The sequence below is a fragment of the Homo sapiens genome, chromosome 1, assembly GCF_000001405.40.
Source record: "Homo sapiens chromosome 1, GRCh38.p14 Primary Assembly".
Classification (NCBI taxonomy): Eukaryota; Metazoa; Chordata; class Mammalia; order Primates; family Hominidae; genus Homo; species Homo sapiens.
Window position 1 is genome coordinate 194,290,151 of NC_000001.11, and position 17,162 is coordinate 194,307,312.

Here is a 17,162-nt window from a genome sequence, read left to right on the forward strand (position 1 = left end):
TGGTGAGACAAGAACTCAGACCTCGCTAAGCTAAGGAGTAAGGCTTCTGCAACAGAACAAGCCAGAATTTCCTACATGAAATATTTATTTTCACATCTTTGTGATGTTCTGACAGTGTGCTGAAGGAAAATGACTTTTTTCCATTCTTTATTTTAAAATTTTGTATTTATTATTAAAGACTCATATTAAGTATTTCCTTTAAACTCCTTTCCTGGATCTCTGATATGAGTTGAATTTACCTCATTTACGATGGCAACCTAAACATACCATTATATCATCACTTAGTGTACTGTATAAAAATCTGTTTTCTATGGGTTACCTCTTCTACTAGGCTATAAGATCCCTATTTTGATTAACCTGGCTTTACTTACCTCTGTCTTTCAGTGTCTAGAATGTGCTAAAAATTTTTATCATAACATAATGAGGTCATTCTTAGTACTAGACAATTGGTAATAGGGTCCAGCCCCCTTGGTACCCATGGAATTAGCAGTTAACTTTTTGGCTCCCACAAGTAATGAGATTTATTGTACACCATCATCAAAATAATAAGTCTTAAAAAGGAGTATATCCTGCAGATGTAGAAACTTTACTACACATTATAACTACATCTTTTTGCCTCTGTTTATTCTGAAAGAAAAGCAATTTAACCTGATGTTTTAACGTCATGTGGTGCATACTATATAATATTAAAGCATGTAAATGGGGTGGTGGTGATCAATGCCTTGATAAACTTAGTTAGTGGTTTTCTTTCAACAGGCAAACCTCTAGGCTTAGTGTAAAGACGTTCTATGATATTTGTTCTAACCAGGACTAAGTCACTCCTTGTATTAGTAAGAAAATACTGTGGAAGACTAGAAACAAGGTGGTGGGGGTAGGGGTAAAAAGAAGAAGAGAAGGGGCGAGGATGAGAGGGAAGGAAGGGGAGAGGAAGAGAGGAGTAAGTGGAAGAGAGAGAGAGGAGAAATAAAGACACAGAAATAAAAAGAAAGGGAAATAGAAAAGATGCTTTCTTCTTCCTTCCTTGCTTGCTTGATTGCTATCTTGCTTGCTTTCTTTCTTTCTCTCTTTCTTTCTTTTTCTTTCTTCTTTTTCTTTTTTCTTTCAATGAAAATGTGTCATAGGAACAAATGTGGTGTTCCCTCTGAGACAACTACACTCCCAGGTGCCTCTTCCAACACATTTTCGTTCTCTTTTTATCATGGCATAGACAATTGTCAGCACTGCTGAAAACTAAATACAGAAAAAGTTGGTTGAGGTTATACTATTCCTTTCATGCTACAATGATGTAACATCATTAAGATCAAAGGGAATTGTTAACTTTCCTCTAATAATAAAAAACACACAAAAATACTGAAACCTTGGATAGGCTTACGAACATTTTAAAAGGCAGAATAACTTTCCCTTACTCAGGATAAATTTTGCCTCTTATCTCTAAATATTATCCTACTGTTTGACAAGAAATAAAAAAATTACTAAATCTTTCACATCCCATATTTTACTGCTGTCTATATTTTACATTTGATATAAACATTTTACAGCAGGTATTGTACACTGAAATTTGGATTCATTTATCTCATAAAAAGGAATACAAATGATGGATTGAAACACCCTGGTATCTAAAATTCTAAAAACATTAATATTTTTACTGAAAGTTATAGATTATATTAACACCAGGGTATAGTCAGTGAAAATACTCCCTACAGTTTAGTGTCAATAGTCTGAACAGCAGTCAGTTTTCCATAAAACATGAAAGCCAACAAATTCTGTTATTGGGTAACAAGCTGATCTAAGCCTAATCTATAGTTATTTACTTGAATGGTACAAGTGGATAAAAACATGTAACATCTTTTAAATGCTTATAAAAAATTTAAAGATAAATGCTAGTTTAATTATAGTCATATGCAAATAGGTTTTATTGTTAATACTGAATATAAAGTATAAAAACATAAATTATAGTCTTATGATAGAGACAAATGTCAGCCTTAATTGATGACACTCTATAAGCAATTTTCTGCTTGTAACATTTGTTTTAATTTTCTCACACAAATAACAGAACTTGCATTCATATAATTAAACATACATGGACTATTAATATTTTTGACATCATCTAGGGAATTTACTTAATTACGCTTCACTCTCTAAAACGTGTATTTACTGTTAAATTCTGAAGTAAATAATAACATTCAACAATATTTTCTATACCTCTGGAATTATAAATCCAGGACTGAAAACAACCCATGGAAGCTTGATCATCTCTCAGGAAAAATGTTCTGTAAGTCTGGAATATATACAAGTAATATTATCAATCACTAACTGTAAGTAAATAATTAATATTATTGTAAGGGCTATTATTTAATCTTTTAATCTACATATAGGATAGGTGTTTCATTTAACTTATAAAAATAATTATATAAAAATAAGAATTATTACTGCTTATACAAATTTTGAGGCTTTGCAATTCTGCTGCAGTAATATGGCTAAAAATAAATTGTACAAAGAAACACTTAAGGACATATAATGTGAAAGTATATGTGAATACAGTCAGAAATATTCTGGTAATGACTAGATATACGAATTTAGAGGATTGTTTTCCTCATCTTGTTAAGGTTTATTTGTTTATTTATCTTTATTTGTATTCAATAATCTTTAGTCCTAGAAAATTTTAGGGGAGAGTAAAAGAGAGTAAAGACATCCGTAAATTGTATGATTCATACTATGACCCAAAGACTGAGATCATCAGATATTGCAGAGAAAAAAAATCTTTTATTGAAACCCTCAAATAGTTTAGCCACAGTATAAACTGTAGAAGATGAAATGATGAACAAATATTCAATGCTCATACCCAAAAACAGGGGTTTTCAAGATTATTATGCTTCAGGATCACCCTGAGGGTGTGTTAACACACAGATCACTGGCCTTCACTCCATGCTCCCTCCTCCTGAGTGTCTGATTCAGTAGGTCTGTGATAGGGCCCAGGAATTTGCATTTCTAGTGAGTTACCAGTTGCTGCTAGGATAGAGACCACATGAGGGTCCTCCACCCAGGCTGTACAGTAACTCATCTCCGGAATATTTATCCCCTAAGTTCCTCGCATAATTTATTGTTGGGGAAAGCACTGTTGTTTTCTGAAGCTCTCCATATGAAAGGGCAGTCTCCAGGAATTATGTAAAACTTGAGTTGGGCATTGATATACGGATTGGGTCCACAAAGTTTTAAAAAAACACAAGAGGATATTTACTGATAACAATTACAGTTACATAGCATTTTCAACTTATAATGTATTTGCTTATGCTTTTTCTTGTTTAACTTTGGTCTTTACAACAACTCAATAAAGGAGGCAAGTATTATAATTTCTTTTCTTTAGAAAAGTGATCTGAAGCTCAGTAACATCCTTAGTTCATAACTTTTGTATGCATGTTTGCATAATTGAAATGAAAACATTCTGGCTGCAAGTTAAGTGATTATGGCTGTATACCCTATGCACCATATGCTTATTATGTCTATGAAACAGTAATGAGGCCAACATGGCCAGAAAGACTCCATTAGGCAGTAGTGAAAAAAATATGTAGGATATTTGGATAAAAGTAGATATGCGTAGGGTAGGACAAGACTATGGAATGTCTTGAAATCAAGTTAAGGAATTTGAAAGTTGTAGCAATCAATAAAATCAGTGTAAAATACTATCCTGCAACAGAAAGACGTGCAAATCATACACATATATAATATCTTACTATTTGGAATCTATTTTCTACTAACTTCAGGAATTGACTCACTCCAAAGCTGTAAAAAGAAAACAGAACATGTGTTTCTTCTAATTGGTACAGTCAGTCTCATTACAAATCCTGATCCCCAAAGTAGGAGGCTGGCGGGGGTAGAAAAGGAAAAGATACACAACTAAATTCCATGCAAGTTTTCATTCCAAGACTATTTTCTCCTGCTCTTCATTTTCTCATTAGGCATTGAGAAAAAAGTGTGGTCTTCTTGGCTGTGGGAGGCAGCATGGCTGGATCTCATGCTGGTTGCTGTGCTTTCTCTGCTGTGCTCTGTCTGGCCCAGCCCATCTGAGACACTGAGAGCTGTTGCTGAGGGCCACTGGCCTAACCACCACCTCTTCCCAGGCAAATGCACATTTGGACTGGTGTAACTTGTGGCCTGTTCTCTTTACATGAATAGTGCTGACCAACCCCTTCACTCATTCCTCATAGGTACTGTGGGCCCTACTAATGACTCTCTCACTTGGCTTACATAAGCTGCTCTCTAGCTTTTAGTAAAACATTACTATTCTTCATGGTAAAGACATCTGATAATCGTCTCCATCAGAGAAGATGACATCTTCCTCTTTGTCTTTCAGGAGATGTGCTAGGTTATGTCCACTTAGGAAGCAGGACCCAACATAGCACTAGACATACAAAAGACTTATTGGGGGAAACAACTGGTTGATGATAGAGGAGAGAGGCAGAGAAAGGAGGGTGAGCTTGCAGATCATGATGTGTAGGTTTGACCCCTGTGAAGGAGAAGGGAAGGAAGAGTTGGTGTGGAGAGTCTCAGACTGTAATGCGGTTCTAAGAAAATTTCTGCCAGTCATATAAAGAGTCATTGAGCTAAAGTCTTCCATTGGCAGAGTTGTGTGTCTCTCAGAAATTAGTCTGCATTATTACTACCAGCATGCCCAGTTGTTGGCTAGAAGGAGCCCAGGAAGGGTGGTCTCTATTTGAAAATGATGGATCCGAGGAAGGCAGCAGCAGTGACTATCGATTTTACCCCAATAATAGAGAACTGTGTGGTCTATTTTCTCGGCCACTGTAGGCGATGCTTCATACAACACAAATCTACTTCTATATGCAGGTTTTGGAAGCAGTTACTTATTGGGAGAGGCAGTTCACCATATCCCCCGAGCATTCCTGTATGTCCTTGTCAAGTGTGCCAAATTGCAAATGGCTAACCACTGTCTGACTGTGAGCAGTTTCTGTATCTAATTATGTGGCAACCAAATAGGTGAAGACCAGCACAGCATGGCTACTGTATAACTGTCCACTCACTAGAAAGGAAACTGTCATTTTTGCTGCCTGCCACAAAAGATGCTAGGTCTTCGGCCCTCAGTTCTTTAGCTGCATCACAATGCACTCTTTTAGTCTCATCTGGGATACTGAGATACCTTATGAGACTTGGAGAAGGGGAGAACTGATATAACCATGTTTATGTTTCTGCTGTGAGTATTAATATGCAGACTTCCTATTATTCGCCAAGTCTCACTGATGCCTTTGGAGTTGTGGCAAGCTTAGTCCTGCCTTTGTCTTTGAGGTTGGAGCACTTTCCTGACAGACACAAGGGGAGGGTTGTTGAGATATACAAACTTTTTTTTATTTTTCCCAGAGGAGAAAAGACAAGGGCCTTATGTGCCAGTTTCAGTGATATGAATTGCTCTTGCTCAAGTGTTGGAAGACAGTGGATGGGGCAGAATAAGTGGATCTTGAGTGCTGCACTAGTTAATAAATAGGAGTAAGTAAATAAATAGACTGAAAGGTAAGAGGTAGGATTGAAATAAGCAGCCCAAATGGTACCATGATTTTTGCTTGTTCTCCTATAAAAATGGAGACCGGGAAGTACTCTGGTCCAACATCAGGAAGGGAAATATAAACTACCTATGTCAAAAGGCAGGTGCATTTGCTTGATGTGTCTGGGGATTTACATAGGCTATGTCATAACAGAGGTTCCTCCATGGAGATTGGTCTCCTCCTACTGGAGGAACTGAGAAGTTAACTGGTTGCCCTAGGATAAATTAGCCTTTCAGCACCTCTCCTACCTGGCCCTGAACCACCACATCCTGATTTACTATCCTTTAGGGAGATTGTATAATAAAGGTAGATCCAAAGTCCCTCCAATTCCAGAGACCAAAAGCTTTAGTCATGGTAGGGACACAGTGGGGCAGGAGGGAAAGTGGAGTATACAAACATTTAAGGCTTTGTTTGGATAACAATGCTCAAGTGGCTGTATAATCCGGTTCTCTTGAGAGGACTGGACCACACATTCGATTTGCTATATTTGGAAAAAGAGGTATATGAGAGAATGGAAGTATCTGTATCTATATCCATCACATTTACTGTGCTGCTACAGGGAACTTGAAATGTCTTGTTATTGTGCCATTAATGAGTGGGTTAAGATGTGCAAGTGAGACTTCTTTCAGGGATGATTTGATGATATTATGATGATTGGCTCCACTAAAACCCAATAGTTCAGGGGTGACTCATTCATTCTGAGCCCTTGGAAATCACGTCTTTCTCAGGCTAGAGTTGTTATACATACTCATTCACAGTTATAAAGGAGCAAGGGACTACTAGGAGGCAGCCAAGTCAATCAACTGAAGTGCCTACACTTTCTTTCCCGAGTCATCTTTAAAAACAGTCCTACCTTATTGTGGTGATCAAGGTTAATTACCTTGACAAGATACTGACTCTTCTTTTTGAGTGCTGGTCCCAGAACCCAGGCAGTCAAAATTTCTCTGATTTGTCAAGACCTCAATGGCTTGTCCTTAATGAAACCTTTGCTGTGGTCCCTGGCAAGAATATGATCCAAGACCTTCAACCTTGCAGAATCAAGAAATATGAGGATAAAATCATGCAGTGAGTCATTGGGACTTAACGGAAGTGGGGCTACTTCTATTCCTACTCCTTGCTTTCTGCAGTGATCTGTTCTTCCCATTGAGGACAGAACACTATATGGGCGGGTGGTGGGTGGAGTGTTCTTTGACTTAATGGATATGCACAAAGGATAAAAATCCATCCTTGGAGAGTGTTGCCTCTGAGTTGGTGCTCCAATTCTGCCTCTAGAAGAATACTTCAATGTTCTTGGAGGATAACTAGTGGAGTGTGTGGTATATGATATAACCAGTGGATCTCACAGTCATGGGCCAACTCACACACCTCTGCACCATGAAGTGGGTTGCCTGTTCAGATGCTATTTTGTGTAGGATTCTGTGACTGTGCATGAGGCATTCCATAAGCCACTGAATAGTGTGCTGACTGGGGTTCTTCAAGAAGGAATGTCAAATCCCCACACAAACTGCTGGCACATCAAAGACAGAAAGGTCCCAATGTAGCTGACTTGCTGCCAAGTGTCATTTTAGTTTCCTTGAAATATAATGTCATGTTGACATAGCTACATTGGTCTCTGTTGCTGACAGGTTGAATCTTTAGGAGCGGCAGAAGCTACTCAACCTTTATAAATGGGAATTAATGCTGATGGGCCTATCACTGCAACCAGGGCCATTTTATTGATGTGCCATTTCACCAGTTCCAGCGCAGCCAATGATGAAAGCTGACTAATGTCAAGTAGTCAACACATTTGAATATTTCATCGTTGAGTGTCTCTTACGTAGTGAATGTTTTCTCATGGGTGTTAAAATGTGATACAAAAATCTTCACACTTTGTATACATTTCCATATGTCTGTTCATATGCTGCTACTCCAGACCTCCTTCATGTCTGGTCTCTCGATTGACATTACCATTGGGTATCTAGTAATCAATATAAATTCTCACCTTGGGCTACATATTTTTCTGAAAAAAAGTGAATGACCATTTGCCCTGGTTATCACTCTGTCTACAAGGAGGATTTTTCCTCACTGTTGTCTTTCAAGGCAATTTTTGGAAAAATGACATAACGAAGCAACAGTCCATTTTCAACTGATACCCACACATAGAGTCAATTAATGATAATACAAACGCAGGCCTTTTTTTTTTTTTTTTTTTTTTTTTTTACCTAATCCACCTGATAACAAGATTTCTCTCTGCTCATAGGATAAGCCAGGGGAAAGGAACTGGGGCAATTGTGGTGGGTGGCATGGAGGTCTGGGCTACCTGTGATGTAGCCTATGAAGGAGAAGAAGAGGGAAGAAGGATTGGATGGAAGAGTCTTACATCAAAACGCAGTTCTAGGAATGGTTCAGCCATCCCCATGGGGAGTCCTTGAGTCAAAATTGCCTGTTAAAGAGTAACATTTCACAGAAATGGGCCTGTATTCATAGCCTCCATAGACATAGTCAGACTTTCAATTCTGCTGATTTGATTGCATCAATTCCCTGATGCAATGTACAGGGAGCATTGCATCAGAATTGTGTATCTATATGTCACACTCTGGATGCTAGACTTGACTTGCTAGTGGTCTATCAGCCTCCATGATGGAATAAAGTCACCCTGCATAGCAGGCTCTTCCCAAGTTTACATACAGAAAGCAGGCTAACATCCATCCCTGTGCTCTCAGTTTTCCTTTCAGCCTTTGAACCCACTTCAGACTCTCAGTCCTCCAGGGATCAGCACACATATATCTCATGAGCTTGACCCTTTCTCCCTTCACAGTATCCTCTGGGACTATAAATTATTGGCTTTTTTATTTCTTTCTCTTATGATTGGGGCTTTTAATATTTCATATTAAATTGAATTCTTACTCAGCTTAACATCCTGGATTTATTAAATTTATATGACCTAATCAACAAAAAGTTTCTTTATATGTCAATGGAAAGTGAAAGTTTTAAAATCTTCTGAATATGCTTGGTTTTCAAAACAATTGTCATGAGATGATACTCTAGCAATCCAAAGGTGAACCTATTTTTTTTTTACTTCTTTCTTTTTGTAGTCCTCCTGTAAATCCTATTTATCCCTGAAGCAAATAGTTGCCTCTGGCCGACTAAAGAATAATCCCAAACAAAGGGAACCTAAAATATAAAAGTAAATATTTTTCAAAAAATATGATCTTCATTATGTAGTCCTGACAAATAAATGACAAAACAAAGCAAAGGATTATAAGTGTCAAAAGAGAAAGCAATCTAACTGGGGAAAGCAGTCAGAGAAAGATTAACAGCCCTACGAGTTTATGGTTTAAGTGATTGAAGACTGAAAATTTTAGCCTTCCTGTTGTTATTGTTGAAGGGGTCCCATTAGCCTGCTGAAGATAAAGTGTGTGTAAAGACAGTTGGTGAGCAATAGGAAAATCATATTTCAACCATATGTCCATGATGCACACAGCCTGGCTTGTACATCCCTGAGCCTGAATCTTGAGCATGGGTCTTCTTTGCTCAGGCGTTGTCACATGGAAGTATTTAACCTGTGGAATGAGCCCTTTTCAGGCTCCCTTTATTTTCCTGCATATACTTATCATTCTGGTTGTTCATATTCCTTTAACTTCTCCATTCCTTTAGTAGTTCCTCTTTCCTTCTTCTGTTTCTAGTCTAGGAACCTTTCTCTAACCCACTCTTTAGGCTTGTAAATATTCCAAAATCCATGGTTGGGATATTTTTTACCTGATTCCACTGCTGGATAAAGGGTGAAGTAAGCTTCAGTTTCTAAGCACAGAGAAACATAGAAAAGCGCCCATCTTGTCGTATTTCTGAGTGTAAAATGAACTCATTTCTGTATTTAAAAATAAAATCTGTATCTCTAAAGCTGCAAGAATAATTTTCTGCTGATTCTCAATTTTTTGGTAGAGGGTTGTAAATCTGGGCCAGGGGCATCATTTTGTTAAAATTTAATTTTATTGAACTTTGACAAATTATACTTGTAGATATTTATGAGATACAAAGTGATCCAATAATACGTATAAGTGTGGAATGTTGAGTCTAAGTAACATATCCACCATCTCAAATACTTATCATTTATTCCTCCAAGTATACACACACATACACACACACAAACACACACACACACAATGGTGAAACCCCGTCTCTACTAAAAATACAAAAATTAGCCGAGTGTAGTGGTGCACACCTGTAATCCCAGCTAGTCAGGAGGCTGAGGCAGGAGAATCTCTTGAACCCAGGAGATGAAGGTCGCAGTGAGCCGAGATCACACCACTGCACTCCGGCCTGGACTACAGAGCGAGATTCCGGAAAAAAAAAAAAAAAAAAAAAAAGACAGATATTCTGTCATTTGCAGAAGCATGGATGAATCTAGAGGACATTATGCTAAGTAAAATAAGCCAGGCACAGAAAGAAAAATACATATTCTTTCTTAAATGTGGAATCTAAAATAATTGAATTCATAGAGGTAGAGAGCACAATGACGGTTATGAGAAGATGAGAGGTGGGGGAAATGGGAAGATGGTCAATGGGAGTAACTTATCCTGAAATACAAATCAACCATTCCATCTGTGATTAGAAAGATTATCCCAATACAAAAGAAATGAGTGTCAGTTCCAATGCAATTTACTTTGCTCTCCATGAGATCTGGTCATCAGGATGCTTAAAACTATCTCCAGCCCAGTGGTAAACCCTGACCATATTCAGGGTATACGTATACCCTGCCAACCATGAGGAGTAACATGAGAAGAAATCAATCTCTCTTGCTTTCTCATTTCATTACCAACTGCCAAGCTCTCCTCTGTGCCATATTTCCCTTAGACTTTGTCCTTCATTGTCATGTCCCTATGACTAAGTTTCCTTCTAGGATTGAGCTCCTGCCAACTTTTATTAGTTTCCCTCCAAGTTACCAGAATGCATACCTTCTGCCTAAGTATAGAACATTTTCAACAAATATGCCTGATAGCCATTGCTTCCCAGGTTTGTTTTATCATCTACCCAATAATGTTTGTTTGTTTCTGTTGTTGTTGTTTTCTGATTTGAACAAACTATTGCTGTTTATTTGGAATGAGGACCTAGGTTGCTGACTCATTCGCTATGGTATCTATACTTCATTCTGAATATATAACATTCGTACTTGTAAATAGATCTCTACTCCAAATGGCAGTTCAATCTTAGGGACTGGATCCAGAACAGCACCTAGACCTAAGCTTATTTATTTGAACATTTCCTATCATGAGCCATATGTCAGAAATTTTAGTTTAGGAAGCTGTGGTAGCTGAATGCTTTCCTGTAGCCCAGGACTATTATTCTCTAGAACTTGGCTGAGCATGAGAAGAAAAATAGAACAAGCAGATGGGCTTTGCCTTCGGGTATGGCAGCACACTTCATTCTTTAGAGTATAAGCTTGCTGCTCATGACACTACGGCAGAGCAGAGCCTAAGAGGCCACATAGAGATGAAAATTGCTGCCTTGGCCTCATTATTCAAAGTCTCACTACCCAGAATACAAGCTTAGAAAGGATTCTTCACTATTTTATTCCTATTCTTGCCTGTCAGGAGATATTGTTGAGCCTGTACACCATGTGAAACATCATTTAAAGTTCTATGGAGGATATATGAAAATATTTGGAAAACAGAACCACTCTCAACCCCCACAAAAAAAAACTGAAAAAAGAAATAAAATGTTTATTTTTTCTATGCAAAGCAAATATGAAGTCTCCCCTCTCATTCAACAGTATTTCTGCCTCAAAAAATAAATAAAACATAATCAAAACACTTTAAATTCACTCTAACATGTAACAAAACTGTCACTGGAGATCTCCTGATTTGAGAAATCATAGGGTCTGCAAAACCACAGACTAAATATAATGCTAGACATTTATGTAAAATATTTCAGCAACAATATGAGTTGTATTATTAGGATGAACAATGATGGCCTTATGGTTAAATAAGCATATCTGAATACCTTATTTCTCAAACACACTGAAAATATGGGTTCTGCAAATGGTATCCCTCTTTCTCCCTAAACCTAGAGCAGTGCCCAAGAGAACAGAATACAGGGCCAAGTTTTATGTATTTAAATTCTGTTCTCCCACTTAAAGGTTCTGTTACTATAAAAAAAAAAAACGCAGTACTTGTTCTATGCTTCAGTTACCTTCTATATCATAACAAGATAATGATTGCATCTATTCAAGGAGTTACCAAGAAAATAAAACAAATTTATATAAGAAAACATGAAGGCTAGTGTCTGCCAAATATTAAGTACTTAATGAGTTATTATTATCATAACTCTCTCTATATTAATCAATAAATATTCATTTAAACATGAAGCCATACCAGAGGTTATGTAGTGGGTTAATAACTGTATCGCTTTCCTATCCATAAGGGAGTCCTTGAGAAACAGCAGTTTGAGGGAGTGAAGAGTAGAAGAAGATACTAAAATTAGAGAGAAAGGCTAATATTTAATTAACACTTAAAATGTGTCAGAACTTCTGCATGCATTATCTGATTTTGCCCTCAAACCAACTCTTGTAACTAGCCCAGGTCTGCACAACCAGGAATGGCAGAACAGAAATTAGAACAAGTTCTTCTCTTATCAATGAATATGATGCTCTTGAGGAAAAGCAAGAGGAGACAGAAAGAAATCCGGTATTTTAAACATAGGATTATATAGCCAAAACTAATTTACCAAGTTTATTATACAATTGCTCAAAGTTTCGCTTTGCCCATATAGGCATTATCTACCCTTTTAATTCTCCCCATTGTTGATAAAACCATAAGTTGAATCAAAAAGAACCTCACTGTTTGAATATTATTTAGTACGTCAATGTTTTATTTTGTATATTGGTAAATTATTTGGTTATTTTCTGTTTCTAATAGTTTTTAAATAATTTTGAATTATAGAATGTGGTCTATTAATATAGAATTTTTAAAATACATTTTGTGTATTGACCTTTTAAAACAAGAGGAGGCTTCCTTAAAGTGTCTTTTCACTGTTGTTAAATATACCAGCACATAAAATGTTAATGGAAATACTGCCTTTTAATGTTAGGTAGTGACCTTTATTATAAATGAATTTATCTCTAGAGTATATTTTTCAAAGTTAAAAGAAACCAATTAAAATGTTCTAACACTGAAGAAGCAATAAACCTCAAAAAATATCTGAATATGGAATATAGTTCTTAATTTACTGTCTCTTCACATGCAACATACCCAGAAGGTGTGCTATTGACTTACTATTGTGTTTCTTGATAAGAAGCTTATAAAGTGTCTGCTTAACTTTTCCTTTTCAAATTAACAAGATAATACGAGCATGTAGGTAAGCCATTGGCAAGGGCTAGAGGATAGCCATTTAAAAACAGAAAATATATATTATTGTGTTTTTATCACAATTTTCCTGGCTCAGAAATGAAAAAAAAAAAAAAAACCTTAGACTTGGCCCAGTATGTAAATGATGCAGGAAGCCATGTCCCCTGTCTATCTCTCCAACCACATCTGCTTCTGTTCTCTAATATGCATATATTCTTACAGTACCATCTTCAGGGATTTCTTTGACTTTTATATGCCAGCTTCTTGCTTAGGATGTTTTTTCTTTCTCTCTTACACAATTGATAAATGCCTATTCATTCTTTAATATCATTTATTCATTCAAAAATTTATTGAGCACTATGTGATAGGAACTATTTTTAAGTTCTGGTAACACAGCAGCAAACAATATAGACAAAAGTCCTTTCTTTCATGGAGTTTATATTTCAGTATGAGAAAACAATATACAAGTAAATGTATATATATTTATACATATATAAACATATTCTTATATATTATATATTTGTACATATATAAACATATTCTTATATATTATATATTTGTACATATATAAATATATTCTTATGTATTATATATTTGTACATATATAAATATATTCTTATGTATTATACATTTGTACATATATAAATATATTCTTATGTATTATACATTTGTACATATATAAATATATTCTTATGTATTATACATTTGTACATATATAAATATATTCTTATGTATTATACATTTGTACATATATAAATATATTCTTATGTATTATACATTTGTACATATATAAATATAATATATTTTTATGTATTATATATTTGTACATATATGAATATATTTTTATGTATTATATATTTGTACATATATGAATATATTTTTATGTATTATATATTTATACATATATAAATATATATTATATATTATATATACATGTATAAATTTTATATTTTTTATATATATATATATATATAAAGGAAAAAGATGCAAATCACATATATCACATATAGCCTGGTCGTTTATTGTAGGGACTTTTCCATTTGCTCTGGAAAAGCAGTGAACCAATGTGACGGTTTGGTAAAGAGAGGTTTCATGAACTTATTTATGTTTTAATTGTATTTTTCTGGCTGCTGAATGGAAAACAGACATTACGGGGACAAGTGCAGGTGTATCAATAATCCAGGTGAAAGATGATGTTGGCTCAGTGTAGAAAAAGTGGGTAGTAGGAAAATGGTAAGACATGGTCAGAAATTGAAGGTAGAAGCAAGAAAATGTACTAGCTGATTGGAAATAAAGTATGAGAGCAAGAGATAAATGAAAGACGACTGGAAAGATTTGGAAGAGACTCATCATATGGCATTCAGTTTTATCTTACTGTGCTCCCATGCCAAGTCACCCTCCTCTATACAAGCTAGAGTCTTGTACTCATCTCTAATACCAACCATAAGTATCTTCTTTTAACACGGACTGTACAAAGTTTTATTTACACTATCTCATTTATTATTATACTGATACTGAAGGGAATACAATATTTTTACAATACAATATAGATATAATATGACATTTTATACATGAGCTCATACTCATCAAATCAAAATGCCATAAATTGCTTATGCATTTGTCATTCCCAAAGTGATGTAACACATTTGAGGACAAGGACAATGATGTACTAATTTCTGTATGCCTAGCACCTGGAGAAATCTTTACTCAAAATTGCTGCCCATTACTGTGCTTTGAATGAAGGGAAGAAATGAATCATTGTTAAAGTTTTCTATAACAGTACAATTGGAAGGAGGGCAAAATTCCTTACTGCATCATCAAGTATTTGTCCTTATGTGATCTACGAATCTGCTTAAATTTCTTTCCATCAGCATTTTATGTTTATAATGCAATATAAAATGTAAATATAAACTCCAGATTATCAAACTATAGAATTCTTGGTCCTGTATCTTTTTGCCATTTTTTAATCAACTTATAGATACCAAGGATTTCCAATGTTTTATTTACCCATCTTCCCTCATCAATTGAATTGCTCTTTCAGCAGCTATGCAAGATTCATATACTAAAGATGACTGATGTAATATTTACAAAGGTCTTTAGAATTATCGAGTTCCTCAGAAGAATTTATGTATGGCAAAGAGTTTAAAATGTCAGGAGTTCATACATGAAGCCATTGTGAGCTCCCTTGAGCTCTCCATAACGCTAACAAAGATAGGAACTCTGTCCTCTATGCTACCAGATGATCTCCTGCCTAGTGGTATTATTGAATTTATAATACTGCATTGTAAATGATTGCTTGCATGCTATATTTCCCCACTTCTGGAAGAGATTTTAACTCTTTGTCATTGTATCTCAATACTAACATCATTCTTAGTATAACATACGTACTTAGACAATGTTGAATACGTGCAAAAGATTGCTATGCAAATCATTTAAGCACTCAACTTCATTTTTGATGGTGCTAAATGATGCTATTCTAGCACAGTTGCTAAAGGTCTGCTTTGTTCAATTGTCTCTTGCGCTGCAAATTCCTAGTCTTAAACCATAACTTTTGATCTTGCCAATTCAAATCAATTCAGCAAACATACTAACCATCACTTATTTCAGAAAATGCAATGATGAAAAAGATGACCTTAAATAGCTTGCAATCTAAGAGCAGAAATAAACACAAATAGTATTGTAATGCATTCAGAATGTGAGAAGTGTTATACGATGTTTATTGCAAAATATCATATCAACGTAAAAGATAAAAATTATTTCTTCTCAAAAGCTAGTTGACGGAATTATGTAAGAGAAGAGAAAAGGAAATATTTCAAATATATAAACAGTATTTGATCAAAAAATTATCATAGAGGTCTAGTTCAGATGAAGTACAGAAATATAAGTGGCTTCAAGAAAAAATGTGTGTGCATGAGTGCGTGTGTGTGTGTGAATGTTAAAATCAGTAAAACAGGCCATGGGCAACCTTGTGTATATTACAGACATTGACAATCAAAGTGACAATAGTGGTAGTAGTAGTAGTGAGGACATAAGGTAGCATAAACAAGTTTGAAATATCATGGAAATTAAACACAAAGACATAATGTCAGCACATAGCCTGTTGCTTTGCAAGTAAATGTAGTAATCATGGAAGAATAGAGAGAAAAGATAAGAAGTCTTAGGATAGAACTTTGTATAAGATACATTTAGGGGACAAAATACTATTTATATTTTGGAAATTTATGTTTATAACTATTGGTACATTTTACACTTTAAAATTTAATGTTTAATAAATAACACTATGGTTCAAAATAGTTAATTTGTATTTGTTAGGCTCTTTTAGGCTTTTTCCAATTTCTTCTCTACTCTATTTCTCTTTTCCAAGTGGAATTGTGAGTACTGAGCTTTTTAGAAGCCTATAGTTGTTAATTACTATACTAGCTTCTTTTGCAGTTTATAATTATCTTGCACCTGTCAATGAACTAAGTATAATTGACTCATCCCACACTTATTTATTTCATAGTATATGTACATATCTCCAGGTATTAATAAACTTTTAAAGTGATAGAATCAATGACTCTCATGAAAGCCATGGGAAATATATTACCCATAGTAACTCCATACTTTGTGAGCCTCCTGCACCTTATATCAAAACACTCATAAAACTGTGTCATCTTCTTCTTTCACTTTATTGCCACTTTGTGCTCAAGCCATTTAAAAGGGAACTTAAGATATTTCCTGAAAGTAAAGATATGATATTATTACTTATTTTTTAATATAACTTTTTGGTAATGTGTCCTGTAAGTTCCACTGCAATCGCTTCATAATAGCATTTATCTTTATGTACAGATCAATCATCAAGCTAAAAGAAACTTGGCAAATAATATAGTTTATTTCTCTGCCTATAAGCAAATTTTTACTTAAACCATTTATGTAGTAAAGTGTTAAGAACCTAAGGGTTATTTACTTCTCTAGTAACATATTTTTATGTCTACTATGTGTTCTTACCCAAAGTCCTTCATTGGATTTAACTTTCCACAAATTTCAATGACTTTCATAGTTACTAGTAAAAGAAAAAAAGGAATCATCATCCTCATCCTCTACAATAAAACCCCCATATCTCTGAGCAGCAGCAGTAAGAATTCATCGAGCATTTCTTTTCCTACTTAAGTATCTATTTATTTTTTCTTTTATTATATACTTTTAAATTATAGTTTTCTAAAGTATAATCCAAAGAAAAATGGTTTTATGAGTAATGTGCCTAATTAAACAGACTGTAACTAATGACTTACCTGGAAGATTTCTC

At 35.1% G+C, this 17,162-nt stretch overlaps 2 long non-coding RNA genes across 2 annotated transcripts in view; both read right to left on the minus strand.

Annotated features, from left to right (window-relative positions):
* The window catches only part of LOC107985242 (uncharacterized), a 199,987-nt gene that overhangs the window by 132,297 nt on the left and 50,528 nt on the right, over window positions 1-17,162 (minus strand). The window lies entirely within an intron of this gene.
* Window positions 1,089-9,796, minus strand: LOC105371670 (uncharacterized). The gene is made up of 3 exons (XR_922390.2): window positions 9,757-9,796; window positions 2,203-2,278; window positions 1,089-1,230 (listed from the first exon to the last, which is right to left on the minus strand). It is a non-coding gene; the product is annotated as an uncharacterized LOC105371670 (long non-coding RNA).